We start from the raw sequence: 26482 nt of genomic DNA on the forward strand, positions 1-26482 counted from the left end.
TGCCAGTTTCTTTTTTGTTGACTCTGCTGCAAATACATCCCTTTTCTCTGTATAACAAAACACTACAACAGTGCAAGATTCAACCTCTCTAGCCTCTGTGTTGATGGCCAAAAAAAAGTAATAATAAACAAAACCAACCAAATAAACCAACCACTGGTCTGTTTTCCATAATTTCTCCAAAATGGCTATCATTTTTATGAGGACATCAAAGGTTTGTTTCAGGCATTCTTCCTTAGGATGTGGTGTTACATAAAACAGTTCATGTTTGGAATTTTATTGACATTGTTCAATTTCTTTGGTGCAAAGGAACAAAACGGACTTAAAATTTATTAACAGCTAGATAGTGAGCTGAGGCTGCTCATCTGAATGCTTGCTCAATTTCTTTGTGGAACCACTTCTGAGTAGGTGTGCCATCTGGATGTTTTTCCTAGATAACAGTGCCCCCTTCCACAGTGGGAAGCAAAAGCAGTCTTGTGGCCCAGTAGGTGCCAAGAACCTTTTTCATCTCTAGTTAGAATCCTCTTTTACTACAGTTGAGAGAATAAGGCTGTTTTGCATTTGAATGGAGAACTACATTCTAGAGATAATAAAGCCAACTCAACTCAGCCATGACTGACTGAGTCCACTGTGCAGTCACCCTCAAGAGCTGTAAACCATGAGCTAGGCCCAGTCCCTGCCCTCCAAGAGCTCTCAATCTAGCTTGCTTTTAATGGACTCTAGAGATCTCATTCCACTTATATCTCTCCCTATCCTATATTGTCCTTTTACCTAATTTTGTTTCAATACAATCATCCCAAGAATGTTTCTTTTTTTCTCATCTCCAATTAGTCAAACTACTGCCAATGGGAAGAAATCTCTCCAAGTCTGCAGTAGAGAGCATTATCTTTTCTCTTCCCTGTAAGACGACATCCCTGCCCCGTCATGTGCCTTGCAGTGACTCCAGTAGACAAAGTATTGTCAGGCTTGGTCACTTGCTTGGGACAGTAGCATGTGAACAGAAGTGACAATGGGCACCTACAGAGCAGAAGTGTAGGAGATGGGCTTAAAGCTTGAAGCTGTGGTTGCCGGTTTCTACCAGTTTTTTGTTTTTCCCTCTGCCCTGATCTAATTAGGGGCTTCTCCATTGGTTTGCATCCTAGAATGAGAAAACATTGAGAAGAAGTGCAGTCAGCCTACAGTCACCAAAATGTATTATAAGCGAAAAAGATACGTTGTTGTAAGCCACTGACAATTTTACAGTCATTTACTGTAGTAGAGCTAATACAAACACCAAATTGTACATAAATAATAAATGGAAGATAGAATAAGTACAACAGTAACAATTCCCAGTCACCTTTATTTAAAGTATATTAAATAAATTATCTCAATATATACAAATAGAACAATATTACCTACATAAATAGAAAATCCCCATATAGAAAACCTTTTTAAAAAATTATATATACAATGTCAACCATAGAAGCTTTAAGTACCTTAAATCATAAACTCTGTAGTTTGTATAGTAGTCTTATAAAAATATAGTTAGCTCTCAAATGTTTAATGCCACTTAAGTCAGTTAAAGTGCAGATTGTAAAGCATATTAGGAAGGTGCCCAGAATACCAATGTCTCCTGCACTTAACACATTAATACAAAGTTTGCCAATTGTTTTGAATTTCCAAATGTATTCCTGAAAAAAAAAAGAACCTAAACACTATATTATAGACATATGTTAGAAAAGTCCTAGAAATGCACCCAATTTCCTTCCATTTTACTTTCCTACATGGATTGAAGTCAGCCCCTCAAAAGCTTTTCGGCTGGGCATGGTGGTTCACGCCCATAATACTAGCACTTTGGGAGGCCAAGGTGGGTGGATCACCTGAGGTCAGGAATTCAAGACCAGCCTGGCCAAGATGGTGAAACCCCATCTCTACTAAAAAATACAAAAATTAGCTTGGCGTGGTAGTGCGCACCTGTAATCCCAGCTACTCGGGAGGCTGAGGCAGACAATTGCTTGAACCCGAGAGACGGAGGGTGCAGTGAGCCGAGATCGTGCTACTGCACTCCAGCCTGGGCAACAGAGCAAGACTCCGTCTCAAAAAAAAAAAAAAAAAAAAAAAAGCTTTTCAAAAGTCCACCCAGGATTTTTTAAGACATTTTCCCATTTGTTTTTGCTTGGACGACCTGGTTACTCCTTGAGTGCGGAATATATAATCTAAAGCATGTTATGTGCAAAAGGTGCCATGGTGTTAAAAATTAAAACTTGGAATTGGTTGTAGTACCATTCGTTACATTTCAAAGTGACTAATGCTGATGTCAAAACCAGAATGCTAATGGTAATAACAGGTCATATCAAGAGTTTTTTGAACTCCAGGGTCTTCATGCTCCGAAATACTCATTTGCGTTTCCATGTATTCTATCCTCTTAAAAGTTCTCGGTCACAGTGCAATATAGCATTTGCAGTAGCTCCAACAGTGCTTCCTTTATGAAACATTCAGTGGGGAGTTCTCCTTCCAGCTCTGCCCCACTCCTGCCTTTCTACACTTGTGTAGAGATATAGCCAGGATGATGACAAGGATGATGACCACAAATACCACAGCTCCAATGATGTAGAATATTTCTGAAAAATAAAGGGCATCTAGTCAACTTGGAGAGCTCAAATCCCATTTATCAGTGGACAAAATTGACGGCATAACCCCAAATTACACCATCCTATTTTTGTGCAATTTGACTTTCTTTCACTCTTTCCACCACACTTACATTAGGAAAGAATTTGTCAAAACCTGAACGTTTCAGAGTAATTGACAATGGCTAAACACATTTAATGGGCATTTAATAAACTGAATAATGCACAGTCCAGAAAAGATATGTAGTTGGAGGTAAGAACAATGGCTGGAAAGAAGTGCCTAAAAACGATGCTGAGATTGATGGCAATGATTATAACGGAAGGTGAACCCTAAGTGCAAAGTGGGAGATCCAAAGTGCTACCAGGATTTGGGTGAAGAAGAGATAGTAACTAGTTGGTGCAGTAGCAAGGCCTTCTGGTGGAAGTGGCGTTTGAAATGCCTCTCCAAGATAGAGAACGGCCAGGGAAGCAGAGAAGTGTGTGTGCACAAAAGGAGAGGCAGTGGAATTAGAGCTAGGCTTTAGGACAATGACTGAAGGCTGTGGGTAGGATGGCTCAGAGGGGTGCAGGACCAGAGGTAAAGAGAAACCTCTCCTGTCAGTGGCAATAAACAGGAGAGAACAGTTTATTTAAAGTGTTTTAAAATGTTCAAATATCATCTTCACATGGAGCTAAGCCATCATTTCTTTTTTCGTTGTTTCTTTTTTTTTTTTTTTTGAGATGGAATCTCGCTCTGTCACCCAGGCTGGAGTACAGTGGTCCAATCTCAGCTCACTTCAGCCTCCGCCTCCCAGGTTCAAGCAATTCTCCTGCCTCAACCTCCTGAGTAGCTGGGACTACAGACACGTGCAACCACACCCAGCTACTTTTTGTATTTTGAGTAGAGATGGGCTTTTACCATGTTGGCCAGGCTGGTCCCAAACTCCTGACCTCAAGTGATTTGCCTGTCTGGGCCTCCCAAAGTGCAGGGACTACAGGCGTGAGCCACCACACCCAGCGTAAGCCATCGTTTATATCCCCTGACTCTTTTCTTCACTGGAAGTACTCAGAATACTTTCCCTGTAAGGCATGGATCGAGACACACAGGCTTGCAGCTTCCTGCAAGAGTCTGAAGGCCCACAGCACTTCCGGTTAGGGACTGTTCCTCGCACAATGGGCCTGAGCTCCCAACATATGCACATGCATGTACACACACGTGTCCGCCATATACACACATGCATGCATGTGGGTATATTTGATATACTCAATCCCTTCCCTTGATGGGTTAGACTCTACAGCCTCTGTGGCAACAGCCCACAGTGGGTACTCACGAATGTCTACTGTGTCCTGCTGCAGCTGGTCCAGAAGCCACCCCCAGAATTAGAATTTAAGCATGAAAAAATGCCCAGGGAAATCTGTGACTTGTTGCTAAATCCTAAACACAGTTTGTGTATCCAGTGCTCAGCAGAGGGCTTAGCACATGACAGGTGCTCAAGAAAACACCTGCTAATACAAGGGCACAATCAACACAGAAACATTTCTAAATGTCCAAAATCTTTTTTGTACCAAAGCAAAATCAAAACCAAAACAAACAAATAACAACAAAAAACCTCCAGGCAGTTTGTTTTCCTGAATATTTAACCAAGGAAGTATATCCCAGCCCTGAGGGTGGAGCTACTCCTCCAGAAGTCACCCACAGCACCCATACCCCCAGGCAAATGGCTGGCAGAGCCACTCACCTCTGAATTCCCCTTTCTCCTGGCCCATACACTCTACCGGGCTGTCTGTACTCTTCCGGTTAACTGTTCGGGAGGGAATCACTGCTTGAACACTGAAACAGTAGTTTTCTCCTTTATCCACATCAATCAAAAACTCATTAGTGTTTGTTTTGGCTGTTTTCTGTAAAAAGATAGAGTTCTTAATTCATCTGGGCTCTGAGTCAATTCTTTCCCCTTTATTAAGTCACTGTGGAAGTAAAAACCTAGGTTCTAAGCAAAGCCTACAAGAACACAGCTGACACGTGAAGGATTAGAAGTGACTTCGCTAATCAGTTTCCCTTGATCACTGCTAAAAATGCCTTTTCCAAGACTGAGAAGATCCAATTTAGGCATATTGAACCCTATTGAGCCCCTTTAGAAGATATCTGCAGTAAAAGAAAAAGGAAGGGAGTATTATGCATTGAACCAAAAACAAATTTTGTGCCTGGGATCCTCAATAGAGGGAGAAATGTGAGCATGGCGGGACCTTTAGAGATGACCTGATCCAGCCGGTTGGCTGAGGAACCTGGGTCTCCGAGGGGGCCCTGCCCAGAGTCACAGGGTAGTGCAGAGTCACAGGTAGGACCAGGCCTGTTGTCCACCCCTCCCCACAGTGCGCGCTCCCCCTTCTACTCCATCACCTTCTCAACAACTCTGTTCTGCTATTTTTGAATTGGGGAAGAAATGGGTTGTAAAACCCAAGTATTCACAATTTAAAACAGGTCATAAAAACAAATTAAAAAATGCTCACCTTTCCTGAACTTGAAGATTTCCAATAATAAAGTGTATAAATTAAGTCCTTGCCAAAAACATCCCGGAGGCTTAGGAAAGTGTTGTTCCTTCTGACTAAAGTCCGTTCATCTTCTACGGTCACATTCACTTTTGTTCCCACCTGTTCAAAACTCTGAATTGTTGGCTGTCCGAGGTTTGCTGAAACAAAGGAAATGAGCTTGGTTGGAACCAAAGAATTCTGTACAAAGTCAAATCCTGTTTTGTTATCACAATTGACAACTTAATTATCTCTCATATAAAACATGTGCATAGAACCAGCTCCCTGAAAGAAGCAGGCGTGGCGGCCTGGAGCTGAATCCTAAGACATTCTGTGGTAGTGCTGGCCCAAGGGGAAGACAATGGAGCCTCAGATGTCATTTTAAGTTTTCTAGTAGTCACATTAGAAAAAGTAAAAAGGAACAGGTGAAATTAATTTTAATAATATATTTTATTTAACCAAAGACAGTTGACCCCTGAACAACATGGGTTTGAACTCTGTGGATCCACTTGTATGCAAATTTTTTTAAATAAAAGTTACACCAAGTGTGCCGCCTCCTACTTCCTCCATCTTTTCTCCTGCCGTGGCCCCTGCTCTTCCTCCTCCTCCTCCTCCTCAGCCTACTCAACATGAAGATGACGAGGATGAACACCTTTATGATGATCCACTTCCACTTTATCAATAGTAAATATATTTTCTCTTCCTTATAATTCTTTCTCTTCCTTCCTTCTTTCTTTTCTTTTCTTTTCTTTTTTTTCTTTCTTTCCCTTTCTTTTTTAGACAGAGTCTCGCTCTGTCACCCAGGCCGGAGTGCAGTGGCGCAATCTCAGTTCACTGCAACCTCCTCCACCTGGGTTGAAGTGATTCTCCTGCCTCAGCCTCCCAAGTAGCTGGGATTACAGGCACCCACAACCACGCCTGGCTAATTTTTGTATTTTTAGTAGAGATGGGGTTTCACCATGTTGGCCAGGCTGGTCTTGAACTCCTGACCTCAAGTGATCCACCCGCCTTAGCATCCCAAAGTTCTGAGATTACAGGCACGAGCCACCATGCCCAGCCTCTTTTCCTTATAATTTTCTTAATAACATTTTCTTTCCTCTAGCTTACTTTATTGTAAGAATACAGTATATAATACACGCAACATGAAAAATGTGTGTTAATTGACTGTTTATCTTATTGGTAAGGCTGCAGTCAACAGTCAACCGATAGGTAGGCTATTAGTAGTTAAGTTTTTGGGGAGTCAAGTTATACTCGGATTTTCAACTGCACAGGGAGTCGGTGCCTCTCAGCCATGCATTGCTTGAGTCAACTGCATATATCTGGAATATAATCATTTTAATGTGTAATCAATATAAAAAAGTTTTGAGATATTCTACACTTCTTAAATTCCAGTGTGTACTTTATACTTAGAGCATTAGCCATATTTCAAGTGGTCAACAGCCACATGTGGCTAGTGGCTACTATACTGAACAGGGTGGTAGCATAAACTACGATATTTTAGGTTCAAAAATATGTAGGGCTGTGAGAAAGCCCAGGAAATGTCCTTGGTACCTCGAGAAGCCGGATTTAACCACGGGGTCTCTGCAATGGCTCAATTATCTCATGTGCTTTGGTTAAATGACAGGAAAACAAACATCAATTCACAGGCCAAATATGTGTGTGCACATGCAAAACAAACACATAAAATATCTTCTATCTTGCACCAACAAAGGATTTGAAGTAGCTTACAAAAAAACTCAAGAACTATTAATATAAAAGAGAATCATGAGGATGCCATTAATTAGGGGGGAAATGAATGTCAACCATGCCACAGTCACCAGAGGGGCTGCTGACGCTGCTACATTCTTGCCTGGTGCCACAAAAGACACAAGCAGAAGCACCTGGGGGTCTGGAGGGTCTTGCAAATGGGGGCTCTGGGAAGGCAGCCACATTCACCTGGGGTCAGGCCCCCTATTTCAACCCTCAAAGTAGATACCAGAGGAGGATGGTTGGTTGGTTGTCCGTCCACCCCTTCTTTTCACCATTCCTACCTTGAGAAACTGTTCTCTCTCGCTGGGCCTAACACTCACACAACACCTTCATTCTAACCAGCTGGCCTTACAAGAGAAGCTAATTTCACTCTACTCAATGTGCTACATGCATTTATCTAAATTGCCTAGCTCAGAGCCACAGTTGCGGCAAAAGAATAAATCTCCTACTTGACAGGAATTCTCTTCATTCTTTTACTGGCTCCTAGGGCCAGCTTACAGGGGCAAAGGCTGAGGAGGAAAGTATTCCACCTTTCCAAAACCAGAACGAGGGTGACAGGCAGATGGCTGGGCAGGTGCTGGCACATCACGGAACTCAAATCATGGCCAACTGATTAGAAAAGGTCAGCATAATTAGGCTAATTATGGGCTCAGAGGGAAACCATGGACTTTCCTCATTGATTTATGACCGTTTGGGAAAAATCCTCAACTGGGATTTTTAGTGTGATAACGGGACAGAAAAATCAGGATACATGATATATATATAGGGAAAAGCTAAAACCCCGGCCTTGGTGGATTTCCTATCCCTACCCGCTTCCCTGGCCCGCCCTCTCCCAACACACATTCAGCCGGTTACTGAGGACAGTAACAGGGTCTGGGGACAGACTGGGGGAGAAAGTTACTTGATGACACTGTCATCAGCTCCAAAGTTCACATTCTGTGAACCTCCTACCACATCTGGAATGTGTGAAGAGGGCTGTGATACATACCAGTTTCTGAGAAAAAAAGAATAAATATTTTTAATTTTGTAGCCCCTAAAGGCACAAGATCACGAGAATGTTCAGACGTTTCTAACAAGAATGAACGGTATTACAGCCCAAGCCACTTACTCTCCAGGTAAGGTGTGAACTCTGGGGAGTTCTCATACAGAGGCTCCCCAGCAGAACCGGTGCTCTCCACATTCCCTGCCGGGTAGGAGAAGACCCGTGCCAAGTACGTCTGCTTCACATCCTTCACAATCTCGTCGGTGAGGTCACACTCTGTGTCTGTTGTGTAAAAGCATTTGCTTTTCCAATCTCCTGACTTAGTGCTAAAGAAAGAAAAGAAGGAAGAAACATAAATGGAATGTTACAATTTGCACCCAACAAGATAGACTGCTTCCTGGCTGTGGTGTTCTGTGCTAACATCAGGAGCCCTACAATCAATCCTAATGATGCAGTCACTGTGCTGAGCACTTTGCTTTTTTTTAAACATTGTTTTGTAGAGATGGGGTCCTGCTATGTTGCCCAGGCTGATCCTTCTGCTTCGGCCTCCCAAAGTGCTGAATGTACAGGTGTGAGCCATCATACCTAGCAACACCGAGCACTTGGGATGCATGTTTGAGTCCTCATAGCAACCCAGGGGATGGCTCTGTAATTTGCCTTGTTTTTACAAATAAGGCTACTGAGACAAAGTGAGATTGGGTGACTAGCTCAAAATCACACAGCTGGACTTTGAACCAGACAGCTATTTGACTCTTGGATCTGTACTCAACCATTTTGTTAAATATCTTTCTTTTAGAATGTAGACGCTCTCTGTCAGGGTAACAGGAGAGAAAGAGCAGTTTTCCATCAAGATGAGGCAACTGAGACAAAGTGAGGTTGTTTACTATAGTCTACTTATTATAGTTGTTTGTTATATAATGTTCTATATTCTATGTAGAATAGAGTCTATATAGTGAGTCTACATAATAACATGTTATACATATATTCTCTCATGACCACTATTAATAATATTATTAATCATTCATTGACTCCACTATATGCCAGGTATTCTGCTGGACCCTTTACTCATGTTACTTCATTTGATATAATCCTTCCAAGAAGGTGTTGGATCTTTCTTATCCATGAGGACACTGAAGCTCACAGGCACTAAGCAACTTGCAGAAGGTCACATATCTAACGAGTGGCAGAGCTGGGTCTGTTTGCCCCATTATACTACATGCCTCCCTTCCTTTGCAAGATGTGAATCCATCCCAACAAAGATTACAGAATAAGAGTACAGGTAGTATCTGTCTAATAAAGTCTGAGACTAAAAAGCTAAAGACAGATCTTTCTTTTGTGAGACGTCACTGAAGGGGAAATGATTTAAAGGACTTCTACTGACAATGAAATTCTTCTAAATGACCAAAATAATAAATAGGTGAAGCGTCACTGCAACTTGATTCACACACTTCTGTCCCATGGAAAGTGACAGTTATGCTGCTCTTCCCTTTGGCATTACTGACTGCCAGAGCCAGACCCATCGTTCAAGGCCAGGTCCCAACTCCACCTGCTCCAGGAATCTCCAGATCTCCCTGCTGAGCATTTACATCTCCCTCCCCTGTCCCCCAGCATGAGTTTCTCCACGATGCTGTTAATATGAACACAGTCTGCCTGGTACGAGGGCTGCATGCCCTTGTGTGCCCCCATTAAGCAGCAGGGCTATAGGGTCTCGCTGACTATTAGATGGTTTGCATTTACAGGTTGAATTAATACATAATCTCAGGGAAAACGAGGCACCACATGGATTCCATTGTCTAAATTCACACATAAAAGCCACAAATATATTTTCTTTCAAAATCTGAACTAAGTAACCAGGCCAAAAGGATTTGGGTAAACACATTCTTTATCCTAAAGTGCACAAACTAAGATTGATACTGAAATATTTTGGTTTCTATTTATTTAATTTTATGTGATAAAAGTAGAGAGGGTATTTTGTTCCCGAATGACCAAAATGTGTTTTATTTTATCATTTCCATTTCAAAAAGTGAATGAGACTATGCTGTTTCCTTTTTATCAGTACAGCAAATAGTTGTTCAGATAACAGGAGAAAGTCTCCTAGGGCTTTCTATGTAACATAGAGATACAGTATTTGGTTCCTCCCAGCTCACAGCAGGGACCACATACTCTATAGCAAAATTTAGCACAAGGATTTATACAGTACCCTGGTAAGTAGTAAAACTGTATAAACAGGTAATGAAGGGACAATTCTGTAGAAAATCCCTCTGAATGCCATTAATAGCATTAACACTTTAAAAGCCTCCAAGGTTCCTCCAGGCATTGCAAAACCCTCTGATTTGGAATTTTGAGTTAACTAAAAAATTCAGTCACTAATTTGGTTGCAGGTTGTTTTCCAGAAGCTTTGTAAATTCAGCTTTAGAATTCAGAACATTTCCATGGAATGAATATCACCGGTGACGGTTTGTGCTAAGGCTTAAGCCAATAACATTTCCCAACCACCACTGAAAACTGTTAGCAAAGGTGAAAAATGCAGTTGGAGTTCCAAGTAGGGGCTTCTGCACAGCAGTAGTGTCCTGCGGCTGGAGCCAGGCTGCAGTAGTGAGAGCAGTCGGGAGGGAAGAGGGGCAGCTGCTTAAGATGCTAACTGTAGGGAGGGAAAACAGGCAGAGAGGAAGGCCAACTGAGGAGATGCAGTGGGCAAGACTTTCCTTCTTCCTCCCGCTTTGGAGCCTCCCATCAGACTGTGGCAGAGCCACCTGAGGGATGGTGGTGTGTGGATACTGGGTAGACTTTGGTTCCAGACCTGACATGGGCACTCACCATCAGTGTAGTCATGAATAAATCCCTCACTTCTCAGAGCAACAGTTTCCTCAACTGTAAAATGACTGCTCTGGTCCTTTTTAACCAGGAATCTCATTTATTCCTGGGGTGGGCAGGAGAAGAGTGCACACCTCAGGCCGAGGCTGATGGAAAAGCTCCCAGGCCCTCCAGTACAGCAGCAAGAGATTGTTCAGTCCATAGGACCACCCTGAGTCGGCTGGCATCCCCCAAGCTGTAGCCCTGCGCTCTGCTGTTTGCAGATCAGGAGCTGTGCTCATTTAAATAACAGCAGCCTTATAAAGTTCAAGAACTTACAGTTAACAAAGGCTTATGTTTAAAAAGCAGATGAATCATAAATATATTCCCATGTGTCCCTCAAATATTAGATTGAATATATTTAGGAGGTAAGCATTCCTCCCAAAATCTAATTTTTACCATATGGAAGTAAAGTGTTTACTAAGGTAAACTTCAGGCCTGTATCAGAGAAATTACTTACTAATTCTCAATTGGTGAAATCTGAATTGACAAGTTTGACCAGAACTGTAATCATTATTTCATGTTATGAAATTCCTTCATCTTTCTCTCCCCCCACCCCCATACATATCCACACATGCATGCACGTATGCATGCAAGTTCTCCTTGCTGGTTTGGCAACTACTGTCATGAAGTTCATTTTGAAAAACAAGAACATTCACTTAAAAGATGCATCGTTATCTAGAAGTTGCATTCCTAATGCTGTAAAAGGCCTGGCACAAGCTAAAACAAAACAGAACAGCAAAATACCTTTTGTTTTAGCTAGTGCTACTTTTGTACTTTTATGTAATTAGCATTAAAATAATTTCCACAGCAGCTATTCTCTATTTCATAAGATCTCTACCAAGCCTCCTAGAACATTTCAAAAACCAAAAACTTGCCAAGAATATGGTGAAAACCATCAAGGAAGTCATAACCTTTAGATTGAACATGCTGAATTATCGCCTCCTGGGGACAGCTGCCAGTCAGAGTTGAGGCACCAAGAAGCAGAGCCACACCAGACCCAGAGGGTGCAGACAGCAGAGTATTTCTGCTCTGCCAGGCTCAGTGAGTCACGCATTTGGCCTCCTCCACTAAGATCATGTATTCTACCAGATTTCGATTCATGGAGTCCAAAGATGAATGAATCAAACACTGCTTAAGGGCAATGTATACATTGGGATTCCTCCCCACCTCTTCCCTAAGGTGTTAGACATTGTTCACAGTCTAGACAGCAACAGAAAAAGACATCAATGTTTAGATGAGATTAATTAATCTATCATGACCCAAAGCACACTTCAGTGCCTACTCAAGATGGTTCATCTCTCCACAGTTTATACTCCACTTAGGAACTCTCCCATCATTTCCAAAAACAATTAAAACAATTAAAATGTTCTATCAGTTTAAGGTCTGGAAATGTTGCAGGCCTAATAGAGTATGACACCGGCCAGCGAATTGCCAAGAATCCCTTCTTCTTCGTCATCTGTTAAATAATTTCATCCAGTAATCAGCTTTAAAGACATTCTTGTTCAGCATAGGACAGTAGAAACATCAAAGACCTTAATTTTCTTTTTCTGTACCCAGCTTACCTTATTTGAACAGTGTAGACTTGATTGACGGGTTTGGGTTCCCACTCCAAAATTGTCTTGAAATTAGTTGATTTCCAAGTTAAATTATATGCTGCCACAGTATTTGTAGTGCCTTTAAACAACAGAGAAACAGCTATTATTACATGCACTTCAGAGCACTCGAATGTATTGATGTATAAAACACCTTCCCACCTGACATCACCATAAACCTCACTTTTTATTTTTCAACCACAAAAGCTTCATTAGTGAATTATCAAGAGAAAAAGAATCTTCAAATTTTTTCTAGACCTAGAATTTCTTCATGACAAGATTCACCTTGTAATCCCAGGACACCGGCAAGGATCTTGACATTTTCGTTTGAAATTATTCATGGGCAAAGCCTTGTTATAACTTGACCGGGAAGAGCCCAGAGCCATCAGTGTGCCAGTCCAGGACTCAGCTCAGGAAGAGTCAGGTTCAGCCCGCCAGGAAGGGTTTTCAGTAAGTTATGGAAAAAGATAAATCCCACACGTGTGACAAGAGTTAGGACTGCATACAAATGAAAAAAGCCAAACTTCACTTTTTCCACTTTTATCTGAAATGTCGCTACACTGAAACTTCCACAGAGACCCACGGGGACGTGTGGCCTGTCACACCGTCGGCTGTATTGGATCAGGATTATTTCTTATGAAGGTCTGCTTTGCCAGTACGCAGCAGGTCCCAGTCTCTACGCCGTCCCGAACACCTCGTAGAAATACGGGGCATGCACAACGTTGTACCTGCTCCAATCTAAGCAGCAATCCAGCCCTTTTGGATTGCCTCTACCCAAACCTAGAACAAAGATGGCCAGGAAAAGACCAGGGACGCTCTTTATTAAGGGAAGATGCACATATAATGAAAGATAATATCCAAACCTCTGCACGCCAACACGTGCAGACGCAGGCACAAGTCCTATCATATTGAAGGTCGCAACTCACTGGGAAGCCCTTTCCCCAGAGTTAAAGCGGGAGCTAAAAGTCCGCTTATGCAACAACAGTCCAATTACTCGGACACCCCGAGCAAAACTCTCCAGCGGAAGGGGCAGCGGGGTCTGGGGCGCCAACTCCCTCCCTGCAACTCCCGCCGGCGCCCGACGGACTCGGTTCATTCAAGCCGGGCTGGGTGAGCGCAGCCGAGTCCCGTAGGCGCGGGGGACAACATGGGCGCCCCGGGGAACCAGGGCGAGCCCGCTGCCAGCCAGGACTGTCGCCTCCCTCCTGCGTGTGGCGCGCCCCGGGCTTCCAGGGGCTGGTGCCACTCACCTGAAGCGCCGGCCACCTGGGCGAAGACCCAGCCGAGCAGGAGCGTCCGAGCGACGGCGGTCTCGGGGCGCGGGACCCGGGGCCAGGCAGGGGTCTCCATGTCTACCAGTTGGCGGCGAGATCGAGCGGGTTCCGTGGCGCCCGTGGGGCTGGGGAGGTTGGGCTGAAGGCGCCCTGGGCCGGCCAGAGGGAGTGCGAGGGGGTGCGGGGAGCTCGCAGTCTTGGGGAGCCGGTGCCCCGCGCGCTATAAAGGGCCGGCGGCGCGCTCTCCCGCGCCTCTGCCCGCCCCCGGCGCCCGCCCCCGCCGCTCCTCCCGACTCCCCGCCCCCGGCCCGGGTCACTTGCCGTCGCGGTGGGCGGCCCCCGGCGAGTCCACACCCCTGCCCCGCCTCCTCCCGGTAGGAAACTCCGGGACCCTGCAAGGGATGACTCACCCCAGTGATTCAACCGCGCCACCGAGCGCGGAGCTGCCCTGGAGGACGCAGGCGGGTCTAGTTGCCCGGGTCCCCCAAGGCCCCCGGATTCACCCAGGCCCGCGACTCCGACGTGCAGCTTAGGTGGGTTGCAGGTCTATGGCAGGAAAGGGAGGGCGCCTTGGAAGAATTCTTCCCTTCCATTTGGTGATAAAGTGGGAGAGGCGGCATTTACAACATTTAATAGAAAGCACGGGCTCTGGGCTCCCCTCGGGCAGCGGAGGGCATTTCCCGGATGCTTTGCCCACCTGGGGCAGAAGCTCGGGACCTGCAGCGAAGTAAACGTGTGGCTGTGAGCAGGGCCCTCTCCCAGCCACGGTGGCTTCTTCTACCCCACGAAGGTCAAGAATACCTGGCCTGCCCACCTCGCGGGGCCCTTAGCGGGTCGCACAGGAGAAAGGCGGTGGGAATGCCGGTGTCAGCCACGGTGTGACCGGCTCGGCTCACAGGTCTGAGGGTCAGTTGGCTCAGGCATCGCCCGGTACGACCAGAGATAGTGACTGAGGAAGAGCAGCCTCACATCTGGCAGTTTGCCTCTGGGAGAATTCCAGCGTGACATCTGCAGCTCTGTGGTTCCAGAAAGGATGGTTCCCACATTGAAGAAGACATCTGTGGGACTGAGTTCCACCGAAATGCAGAGGAACCAAAAATGAAAATGAAAAATGTAACCAGAGTTGTGTGCCACTAGTTTTAAGCTTTGGTTTTTCTAAATTATTTTCTGGCTTCTCCTTCTGGGCTTTGCTGTAAACTTGCCAAGCATGAGAACAACTCTTCATCTATTGAGTGGCATTTTAAGCCATCCTGTCAAAGTATCTCCTGTCATTTTTATTATTATTACTCTATATTGCCTGCAAGACACGACTGGAGAATTCTTAGTGTAAGAATTGTTTGTTTCCTCTCTCCTTCTTTCCCACGTTTTCCCAGGGAAGTCAGTCTTGCATTTTAATGCATACTATATACATATCTCGTTTAGCTTACTGAACCACTTGTTTTAACAGAATAAAACTGTGCAAAATTTTAATTTTCCTCCTTTGCCTGAACTGAAATAGCACATCCAGGTTTAGCCCTTGTAGACTTTCCTTCCTCGAAGCAGAAAGTTGCCCTTGATGATTTCCTCTTTGAGCTCTCTGCCAGCTCTGAAACCCACAAAATTTATGTTTGCAAAACTAAGCCATGCAATCCTCTTTTTATGCAGGCTCTAGCCTGAGTCATTTTCCCTAAGAGATCTTCAGCTCCACCTGGGATGTGATTCTTTGCTCTCTGGGATTGAAGGTAGCTGAAGAGAAATAGTTACACTTCAGGTTTGTTACAAGACCCAAGAAATTGTTGCAATTCCACTTGGAGTCACTGACTTTTCTGAAATCATATAGGGCTTTAAACAATGTCAAGATCAGCCATTTGATAAGAAAAATGTTTACCATTGGATTGTGATACACAATGTGCCTTAAATATTGATAAATTAGATGAATATTTATTTTGTATATCCATTAAAATAGACAGGAAAGAGAAGATGTTGGGTGTTTGCACAGGCTTTTTAGTCAGTACGGAATGACATTCTTCAAGATTTAAAAATGCTAAAATCATTACTATTTTCAAGAAGAGGGAGGAAGAAAACGTGGTAAATAATATTTCATTGCGAAGTGTTTTTCCCTGACTGATCTAATTGTGGCCAGATCTACTTTTTGACGGTGCGAAGTGTACTTTTTAATGGTGCCAAACAGCAGTTGATCTATAATAACTGCTGCTTGGCACCATTAAAAAGTACATATCTAAAATTTCACTGTTGAAATTTGTTCACAAGAACAAATTGACTGTTAAAATTATTCCCTAACCTTAACACAATTTTTTTTACTCCTGTCAGTAAAGTCAAGCTTAGCAGTTAACAGTTCCCTCCTCCATGATCTATCTTGGAGGCTCTGAGAAGTTCAAAAAGTTACTAAACTATAACAATAATCTCTCTGGCTTGACCAGTCCCTTTCTCATTGGATTTTAGGATGTCAGAGGATGGGAGAACCTCACAGACATTCTTTTATGGATGAGAACCCTGTGGCCAGCTGATCTGAGTAAACTGGCTTGCCTAACCACACAGTGCAGATCTGGTCTTCTGACCCCGGGGGCTTTCCTTCCATCACCAGGCTTTCTCCTACTCCCAATGAAGGAAAGTAAGACTGGGTGGTAAATCCATCAAATGAATGATTAATTAATCCATCCATAAGCACTCAAAAATGTTCTGCATGTACACAAAGTGCAGAAAAGTGCAAAACTGCACAAAAACTGCACACAAAGTATAGAAAATACTTTGCAGTTTGGGGAACTCATTGTTCTTAGGCAGAAATATCCTGATGGTTAGTCCTTGAAATAGACAGACAAGGAGACACGTAGAAGAGTTTGAATTCCCTTTGCATAACCAGTGATGAAATGTGGTTGATGAGAAGTCTGAAAATAACTGCGGAGATGTTTCAGCCCTTCCACTGTACTTTTATAGTACTTGCTGCCAATTTTACCGACTCATTTTCATTGAGAACTTCACTTAATCTCACTTGTGTGTTTACCTGTTAATCTTTCCTGTTGGATTGGGTTTTTTGTCTGTTTTTTTCCTCTCTCAACCCTTTCCACAATTATCAGCACATAATAGGCACTTAATACCTTTTGAGTCAATGAATACTTTATAAAACTATGAGTGCAACCAAATATTTCACTGGTGTTCAAGAGATGAAATCTGTCACTGAAAACTCTTTCTAGGGGCCAGGCAGTGAGTGTTTCATGATGCTGAGATTGGTAAGAAAATACAAATCCATCATGACTGGAAAGGCACCACTCGACCGCAAGTTCTAGCAGTCTAACCAGTGATTAGCTATCTCTGCACCACCAGAAAATCTCACCAGGAGGAGAGATAGCTGAGAAGCAGAAACCAGATACAGAAGTTTGGAAACTAGCTAGCATTTTTTTAAAAGACTGGATTCTACGATGATTCAGAATATACTTCATCATGCGATGAGGTTGTTGATAGTTTTCCTTGCATACAGAGGCTGAATAACTTTTTAAAACAAATTCCTCAAAATGTTTATTTCCCAGGAAAGAGATAGGTTAAGATACATGATAGCAAGTAAAATTGAGAATAATTCAGAGAAACTTATTTTATGCATATGAAATGGTAAAAAGAGCAATGAAACCATTACCCAAAATTCAGGTAAAAGGCAAAGTATGAGAAAAGGCCAGAGGGAATTAGGAGTTAGTAGGAACACAGAGTTCTGGAGGAAAAGGAAAAAAGTGACTCAGCAGAACCTAAGAAACATCTGGCTGGGTATAGTTAGTCATGGAAAAATTGGCAGTCATGATTATGCATTTTGTGAAAATAGCAATATACTAGTCCAACAGTTCATTTAGACCAAAATTAAACAGTTGAAAGTCAGTATGATAAAATCTATTATCCTGGTCATTCAAAATACTTCTATCAACTGTCTAGAACAGCTTACAAGAAGCTTTGCTAAATGAGTTATCACATAGCACCAGTATTCTGAAAAATGTAACTTTAGAGAAAAACCTTCCAATTCAAGTCTTAGACTGGGATTGGTATTTTCAGCAGACATCTATTTTTATAAACGTAAAGCTTATCAAACTACCTTTCAACTTTCATTTTGATGAACAGTAAATATTATTTTATTATCTACATACAATGGTGACAAAATAGATAAATAATAAATATGAATTGTGGGTATTATTTTAGTAACAAAAAGTCATTTAAAATGAAAACCCTTAACCTATGTTCTTATTAATATAATATTTATGTGATTTAAAATTTTGTATATGGTATCATTTACTTAAGCATCTCTTAATTCCTCATTTCTGTAACTCTTTATACCTGACATATGTACTAAATTTGATGAACAGAAATTCATTCATTCAACAAATGCTTGAATGTCCACCAGATACTGGGTTCTTTGCTAGACTCTGGATGTACAGAGTAAAACAAAGAAGTCCCTTTCCTGTTAAACATATCATCATTCCTACTTATGTCCAGATTTTATGTTTGTTTGTTTGTTTTTTGAGACAGAGTTTCGCTCTTGTTGCCCCAGGCTGGAGTGCAATGGCACAATCTCGGCTCACTGCAACTCCACCTCCCAGGTTCAAAGCAATTCTCCTGCCTCAGCCTCCTGAGTAACTGGGATTACAGGCATGTGCCACCATGCCCAGCTAATTTTGTATTTTTAGTACATACAGGTTTATCTATGTTGGTCAGGCTGGTCTCAAACTCCCGACCTCAGGTGATCCGCCTGCCTCTGCCCCCCAAAGTGCCGGGATTACAGGTGTGAACCACCATGCCCGGCAGATTTTATGGTTTGAATGATTTTCTGTCAGCATTTGAATTGGATATAAAACAATCTTAACAGTGTTGTTTATTTACAAATTTCATTCTGTCCTCCCCCCAAAAAGATTTAGGTGTGTCATGATCAGTTCATCAAATAGGTATCTTTAACTCAGAAAATGACTTACAGGTTTAAAATATACATTCTCTATCAGTTTGAACGTATTGATGAACTCTCAAAGTTTTGAATATGGAAAAAATATATGAAGCTCAACAAGAAAGACAGCTTTATAAAAAGGCAAGTCTAGCAGAAAAGATAACCAAGTAGGAGGAGATTCCTCACGTAAGGAAAAAAACAAGTAAAATAATCAGCTTAAAAGCATGTGTGCAAGATATTTCATTGTTATTTTTATGTTTGTTTGTTGACATTTTATAGCCTAGTTAACAGATGCTCCAAATTTTGAGCCTGTAACCCTTCCAATCCCTTGCTGCCTTTGATGGTGATGCTCCATCCTATTATACCAACTCCACATTGAAGCAGAACTCTCAAGACAGAGGTAATTCCTTAGTAAGCAAAGTTATTTTTCACACTGGAAACATGTTTGTTTGACTGGTTGTAATTGTCATCCTAAACCATCATTACCCTTTATGTTACAACATTTTAGCATCTCACAGTTCTAAATCAACTACTTCTATTCTCACAGTTCTAAATCAAATACTTCTATTCCTTGCCATAAGGGGAATAACAGGTTGCTTTAGCGTCATTGTTTGTGCCCCCTCACACCCACCCAGCAAATCCGTATGTTGAAATCCTCACCTCCAATGTGATGGTGTTAGGAGGCGGAGCCATAAGTAGATGATCTGGTCGAGGATGGAGCCTTTGTGAATGGGGTTAGTGCCCTTATAAAAGAGCTTCATCTTCCTTTCTGCCATGTGAGGACATAGCAAGAAGACGGTTCGGGAAGCTGAACCAAACCTGCTCGAAACTTGATCTTGGACTTCCCAGCCTCCAGAACTGTGAGAAATAAATTTATGTTTGTTTAAGCCAGTTGGACTATGGTATTTTTTGTTATGGCAGCCTGAATGGACTAAGATACAGGACATATACTATGGAGACAGCTATTAAAATGACCAATTTAGAGCGATTGATCTTAGACCTGCACCTTATTTTAAGAATAGTGTTTACTTTTCATCTCCAATCACAATGGATTTGTTAACCAAGATCCTGCCTTATATGGGTTAATCAATACTTATTAAGGGATTACTATGCACAGGACAGTATACCAGGAACTGTGAGTCCCTTTGGTAAAATATCTCGTAACTAGTCAGGAAGACGAGACAAATACTTAAGCTTCCACAGGGGAAAGTGGTACGAATGATGTGGGATATAGTGTCACATCTCTTGCTAGTAGATTGAAAGCCCTGTGCTGGAAGAGACTGCTCTATCTTTACAGGTAGCTACAGTGCTAGCAACAGTGCCTGGCACACAGTAGGTCCTCCGTATTCAGAAAGCTTTGCTTAAAGATACAGAAGATGTTCAGGACCTCTACAGAGAGAGTTTGGTTCTCACTGGGGTGATGAGAGAAGGTTCCCTAGAGGAAAGTATTATTTAAGCTGTGGCTTAGTCCATTTAGTCTGCTCTAACAAAATACCTTAGACTGGGTAATTTATAAGTAACAGAAATAACAGTTCTGGCAGCTGGGAAGTCCAAGATGAAGGCACTGGAAGATTCGGTGTCTGGCAAGGGCTCACTCTTTGATTCGTAGCCGGAAACTTGTTGTTGTATCTCCATGGCAGAAGGGACAAGGCAGCTCCATTTAACTTCCTTTATAAGGGCACAAATCCCATGCATGAGAGCAGGGCCTCATGCATCACTGCCTAAAAGGCCCCACCTCTTAATACGATCACATTGGGCATTAGGTTCCAATGTATGAATTTTAGGAGGAAACCAACATCAGACCATAACAAGCTGGACCACAGAGGAACAGCAGAGAGGAGGAGGAGAGTTTTAGTAAGAAAGAGGAGGTCATGGCCTCTAAGAGTGAGCAGAAAACCAGTTACAGGCAGACTCTGGAGATAATGAAGATTCAATTCCAGACCATGGCAATAAACCAAGTATCACAAGAAAGCAAGTCACACAAACTTTTTGGTTTCCTAGCACATATAAAAGTTACGTTTATACTACATCATAGTCTATAAAGTATATAATAGCATTATGTCTAAAAAAGTACAGACCTTAATTTAACAATACTTTATTGCTAAAAAAAATACTAAGAATCATCTGAGCCGTCAGAGAGTTGTACTTTTTTTGGTGGTGAAGGGTCTTGTCTTGATGTCGCTGGCTGCTGACTGATCAGGGTGGTGATTACTGAAAATCGGGGTGGCCGTGGCAATTTCTTAAAATAAGATAACATGAAGTTTGCCACATTGATTTTTCCTTTCACAAAAGTTTTCATCACCCTATATTGAGGTTACACACGATGTCTGTGTCTTCTGCTCTACCCTAGCATCATGCAGGCAGGAATGTGTCTGTCTTGGTTCTCCACCAAAGGCCAGTACTTCTAATACTTAGATGCTATAATCAAGCACTTGCCAAAAAAAAAAAAACAAAAAAGTCTGATAACGAAGACATAGCCCTGACATGGTTCTGACAGTTTATGTCTTGGTTATGGTTATGACAAAACCTTTCCGAGGATTCAGGAAATCTGCAAAATGGCTTTGTTCTGTCTTTTATTTCTTAGCTGATGTCATGATGTCAGTGGAAAAGCAAATGATCATTTGGGAATATCCAGTGATCTCAATACCAGTCTATTACTTGCTGCCAGTGAAAATGGCCAAAAAATATTGTTCTAGCATCCTATAGGTATTAACTGAATGCTCACAACAACCTTCTGAGAGGTAGGTGGAACTATACATTTTACAGACAGGCTAACTGAAGCCCAGAGAGGTTAAATAATTTGCCCAAAGTGGCACAGCTGGGAAATGGCTAAGCTGGGATTTGAACACAAATAGTGGAGCTGCAAGGTGCACATCCACAACCTATGTTGCTATGTGGCCTCTCCTCAATCATGACACTAACACATGCACATTTCCTATGAAAGCTCAGTGAAAACCACTGCACTGATTCAAGTCCCTTTTTCCTTTTTCCCCTGTCTTCCCTACCTGGTGAAGTTGACCCTCTGTGATGCGCCTGGCTTCAAAACATGGGGACTTTCTGAAAGAAAACTAAGCCAAAACCTGGCCCAAGTCAAGAACAAAGGGATCTTTCTTTTGCTTTGTTTCCAACTCATTTCATCCACATCTAGATTGCTTTCCTCTCCAAAACAGGAAAAAGGAAGCTATCTCTGAAAATGGCTTATTTACCCTGACAACATGAGATAAATGCTCCTCAGCATCTTATTATTTATTAAGAAATATGGGTCATGATTACAACTCATAAATATTAGGAAAGCCCTTTCTGACCTACTTCTTGCTTATGGCATCATTGAGCTGATGAGTTAGATTAGTCCATAATCACTTTCACTTATCTATCAGCCATTCCACAGCCCTTTTCTCACCTATGAATTAATGTCCTATTTATCATCGTGATACAAACATCCAGGCTCAAGTTGGAACTTGTCGTGCAGTCACTTCTATTTCCCTGGAATATTTGTGCAGTGATTGCTCCCTACTTGAGAGCCCCGTAGGGAGCCTCTGCAGATGAGCTCCCTCCTATGGGATGTAGGGTGGTCTCCACTACGACCTGACCCCTCCGTGGTCAGTCACTTCCCCAAATGTAATCTATGTTGCCTGGTACCAGCTTCAGAGCCTGCCTCTAGTACCAGGTTATGTGATACCAGTGCCTGGGTGTCACCTAGAAAAATGTCGGCGTCTGCAGAACCCACGACTGAGGCTCATCCCAGGAAAAATCACCTTGTGCCCTTTTCCTCCCTCCCATCAGAAACATTTTTGTCGTTTGGCAATCAGGTTACAATAATCATTACAAGCAGTCATTAAGGAAAAAAACTCATAGGCGCGATGGTAGTTGATTGAGACGGGGCGTGTGTGTGTGTGTGTGTGTGTGTGTGTGTTAGGGAGCTGTTGGGGAAGGTGGAGATTTTATTTTTATAATGAAGAGGGTTTGGAATTGATTGTAAAGGCATGAACCACAAACACCCACCAGCTGTCTCCGAATATCCCACGAATGGGAAAGGAGAGCTTTGGACCCTTACGTGAGAAAGTCATTTTGCCTCTGTTTTTACAGGGCAGAAAGGTCATGCTGTAACTGGAGATATTACCCCAATGATACCAAGCAATACCAATAGATTCTCAGTCCCAGCTGCTTTTTAGCTGAGTGGGGTAGGGATGGTTTCTCACAGTCTCATACAGCGATGAGTTACAATAATAGGTGTGCCAGAGCTGCTATCTCTGTGGTTCTGTTTCACAGAGAAGTTCCACGCACTCTAAATTACCAAAGAGAACTTCTTCCTTCGTTGCAGTTTCAGCTCCAGCTGCTGCACTCTTTCTTGATTGTATCTGATGTCTGGCCCTGCTTTGGTCTCTGCCTTTTGTACGCTGTATCCAATGTGGGCCTCCTGAAAATCTGATCCCTGGATATCTGATTCAGGCCTTTTCTGTTGCTAGAGAAGTGTGCATGCTGGCTCTTGGCTTTCTTATGTGCTTGTGACCTGTTGGGCAAGGCACTAAATAAATATTCTCCAGTCAGCATTTCAAAGAGAAGATTAGGAACACGTTAAGCCTTTAGTTTAAATGGTTCAGTTAATCCAGGAGTAAAGCACACTGAGGTTTGAGGCCATGTGAAATAGCTGACGTCTTAAAATGAAATGTAAGCATGGAAAAGTGGCACACACTCCTTCCATGAAGGGAAGGAAATGTGAACGCACGCTGCCCATATGTGTCTAGCCATTTGATTTCCCTGGGGTTTAGCTGTACTATCTGTAAAAACGGGGCAATGGGCCTGTGGTCTGGATCTCATATTTTATGATTTGCTACTTAAAGACTTGGATATTTGGGCCAGAGCTTATTATCATAGCTGATCTGTGCCAGTTATATTGAATAATTACTATTTCCAATTTTATTTTAAAGTTTTAATTGACATTTATCTGCTTCTAATAATTGTAGTTCATAGTTTCTGGGAACCTACTTTCCAAACTGACGTTGTTCAAAGCATCCAATATTTCTAGATATAAACTGGTTATGAGAGTTTAACACCAAAACCAGACTGACTGTTTCTTTTCACAGGAATTAACTCAGATATTAGAGGTCATTTGCTTGCGGGTCTGTTTGCTTTAGTTCGGCATTGACGTCACATGCAGTAATTATGGTTACTGCGGTCTTAGCACTGTCCATCATTACCAAGACTCGGCCATGCAGTCAGTGCCCAGTGAATGCTCAGCTCTCAGGGCTGGATAATCTCACCAGGCACATTGGTAGGGCAATCACACACCCAGGACAGGGTAGGTGCCCAAAGGAGACGGCTGGGTGAAAATGGGTTGCAGGACAGGCTCTGCACCTGCTATCAGTGTTCATCACTTTCCGTACTCAGCAGGGATGTGCTGTTCTGGGAAGGGCTTTGGGGAAGAGAGAACTAAATAGGGACAGGTGAGAGAGTAAGACACAAAGTAATTTTCTGGGATTCTTCTATCAAGTATAATATCCTCCCAGACAAACTCACTGAATTTTCCCTTCAACTAACAGCCTCTGGCCTCTCAATTCTTCAAAGCCTTCTTGATGATAATGGACAAGTATTGGTGGTTTCCCCCAGCACCCACTTTCTAATCCTCCCACCTTCACTAAGCACCTGCCTCAATGAGTAGATTTCCCTTTGCCTGAACACTTCACAAAGAAACCATTGTCTTACCAGCATTGATGAGTATTCTGCCTAGGGTAGTATTGTTTAGTCACTGATAACATCCTGAATATTTTGAGTGCTTGCCATGCACTAGGCTTCTCTAATTTACTGCTCATGAAAACCCCGGGAAGCAGGCGCCATGACCTTCCCCATTTTACCCTTGAGAAAGCTGGGGCTAAAAGTGGCTAACGTAACTTGCTCAAGATCACACACTGGGGTGTGGTAGAGCTGGGGCCCAAAGCACGTTGTTTCGCTCCAGAGTGCATGCACTTGACCATGACCCAGCCGGTGAGCACCCTACCCAGCACTCACTCTGCATCAGCACAGAGTGAGATTCTGCAACGGCATCAGAAGAACAAGCTGTTCCTCCTGCCCTAGAGGGGGCCTAGGGAGGGGAAGGCAGAAATATGCGCTACAAGAGGACACAGTGCCAGGTCCATGATACAGACAGAACAAGAGTGCTGCAGGGGCCTGAGAAAAGAGTCGTCAATTTTGGGTGCGGAATTATTTTATCTTTCAATTCACCTGGCTAACATGAATTATTATACATTAAAACAATGATTCGGACTGAAAATTGGGGAAACAGTGCCTTTTACACCCACACAAAATGGATGTATGGCTTCAAATAAAATTTTAGAGCCCATTTCTCATTTGCATTCCCCAAATAATTGGATGCCTCTCTGTTCACTTTTGTTTTTTCTCTTACTGTCAATTTTCTTCAAGGGTGAATTTAGCTTCCTTTAGCAGTTTACTTCATTCCTTCCCAAGGTGTTAATGTTGATGTAAAATCTTTTGATTAACTCTGAGGAGGAAGAACAGTCCCTTAAGTTGATCTGCCCCTCCCACACCTGTTAAACTGCTCTAGCTTAATGAAACCAAAGAATCAGACAAACCCCACATCCACCCAGCCCTCTAGTTCACCCCCTGAACAGTTGTTTGATTGATGGATAATGTTTTGACTTGGCTGCTCAAGCCAATGACAATAATGACAGTGTTTGATCTTGTAGACAGAGCCTAAAACTTTGCTGATGTCCTTAGGTGTTGAAAGGAATAAAAATTTCAGATTAGTATAATGATCAAAATGCTACTGAGGATCATATCCAGGTAGAATTTGCTTTTTTCTGTGTAAATTCACTCAGAGTGAGGCAGCAGGAAACCCTAGGATGCGGTGGGTGAGGAGGCTGGAACGAACAAGACCTGAGTGGGTGGAAGGGTGGCTTCCCAACAGCCCCGCTGAGCCCCAGGCTGCAAGCCCCTGTGGGGGTGGAGGGTGGGAATGTCCCAGCAGGACGCCAGCAGACTTTGTCCTTTCTTGAAAACACAAACAGATTGAGAGGTCTGCACAAATTGCTACATGATACCCAACATCCTGTGGCTGAGTAAACGGAGACACTTGGCTACCTAAGTCCTTGCTTATGTTTAAAAATTTAGTATTCCAGGAAGCAGAGATTTTACACCAAGGATGTCCAGGTTTGGACATGATTTTTTTCCTCTTATGAAACAGAAACATGTCTGCACTCTTAAGATACAACAATATCATCCCAGGAATGCAATTATGAGTGTATTGCCAGAAAGAAATGAATATCTTGAAAAACAAATAGAGTCTTCTTTTTTCTTATCAACCAGATAAACCCGTTTTTAAAGAAAAGTTTGCTATGCAAGAAATTTATTCAGATGTATTTTTTCCTAATTATTAATCAACCAGAAAGTAAGTTATGCCACTGAATTAGTTTACTTACCTAGTCACTTTTTGCAAAGCATTAATCTAAGGGGAGAAAAATCAGACTTAGAAGTAAATAAAATATTTTTTCCACTCCCTGTCCCCTTCCAGATGGGGAGGGATGGATGGGCTGTGAGGCCCCCCAGCCAAGAAGCTGGAAGAACTTTCTCGAATCCTGCAGAGCTGCTCAGGGGCCTGCCTTGTATCTGCCTGGCTGTTCCAGGGAGGTTGGAAGACAAACTGAAGGCTTTCCATTGCTGAACATCAGACCTCAGAAGTACTGACTGGAGGGCTCCCAAGCTGGCTCAGATCAGCCTCATATTGCCCCGAACAGTATCATCACCGCTTTGCCCTGGTGGGGAAACTACTCTTTACCCTCTGTATGAACCTATGAAGCACGCAGGTCACTGGGGCAATTTCTGAGTTTGAAGTTGCTTGGATTTGCCATTGCTGCTATGTTGAAGGGAAGGGAGTGCTTTTGAAGAAAATGTTCATCTCTAGTTCCAGTAACAGGCATGGAATTGACACATAACAGGTGTTTGTTGAATTGAGCTGAATAAATTAGAATCTGGGGCAAAATATAGTTGTTCTTTAT

General features: G+C 42.7%; 1 protein-coding gene, 1 long non-coding RNA gene and 1 other non-coding gene across 4 annotated transcripts, besides 3 other annotated features; 2 read left to right on the plus strand and 1 right to left on the minus strand.

The window, feature by feature from the left end:
* On the minus strand, positions 1174–13760 carry F3 (coagulation factor III, tissue factor). Of its 2 annotated transcripts, NM_001993.5 has the most exons (6): positions 13538–13760; positions 12258–12369; positions 7966–8165; positions 5091–5269; positions 4322–4481; positions 1174–2597 (listed from the first exon to the last, which is right to left on the minus strand). In NM_001993.5, exons 1-6 carry the CDS (start codon positions 13635–13637, stop codon positions 2461–2463), a joined length of 888 nt encoding a protein of 295 aa, NP_001984.1. In that variant the 5' UTR covers positions 13638–13760; the 3' UTR covers positions 1174–2460. The 2 variants fall into 2 exon arrangements, with proteins under 2 accessions (NP_001984.1, NP_001171567.1); NM_001178096.2 differs by lacking the exon at positions 4322–4481.
* Positions 13680–13959: a silencer, noted in NCBI's record as "silent region_1097". NCBI's record gives its function as "represses an Ori minimal core promoter by ATAC-STARR-seq in GM12878 lymphoblastoid cells {active_cell/tissue: GM12878}" and the evidence as "EXISTENCE:reporter gene assay evidence [ECO:0000049][PMID:35858748]".
* LOC124904223 (uncharacterized) lies at positions 13975–26466 on the plus strand. Its single transcript, XR_007066234.1, has 2 exons — positions 13975–18873; positions 25999–26466. It is a non-coding gene; the product is annotated as an uncharacterized LOC124904223 (long non-coding RNA).
* On the plus strand, positions 15703–15780 carry MIR12133 (microRNA 12133). The gene has a single exon (NR_162147.1). It is a non-coding gene; the product is annotated as a microRNA 12133 (primary transcript).
* Positions 24884–25385: an enhancer, noted in NCBI's record as "H3K4me1 hESC enhancer chr1:95018439-95018940 (GRCh37/hg19 assembly coordinates)". NCBI's record gives its function as "activates a minimal SCP1, AML or CMV promoter by ChIP-STARR-seq in naive H9 embryonic stem cells {active_cell/tissue: H9 hESC(naive)}" and the evidence as "EXISTENCE:reporter gene assay evidence [ECO:0000049][PMID:30033119]".
* Positions 25386–25885: an enhancer, noted in NCBI's record as "H3K4me1 hESC enhancer chr1:95018941-95019440 (GRCh37/hg19 assembly coordinates)". NCBI's record gives its function as "activates a minimal SCP1, AML or CMV promoter by ChIP-STARR-seq in naive H9 embryonic stem cells {active_cell/tissue: H9 hESC(naive)}" and the evidence as "EXISTENCE:reporter gene assay evidence [ECO:0000049][PMID:30033119]".
* Positions 26467–26482: the final 16 nt, after the last annotated feature.

This window comes from Homo sapiens, chromosome 1 (genome assembly GCF_000001405.40).
Source record: "Homo sapiens chromosome 1, GRCh38.p14 Primary Assembly".
NCBI lineage: Eukaryota > Metazoa > Chordata > Mammalia > Primates > Hominidae > Homo > Homo sapiens.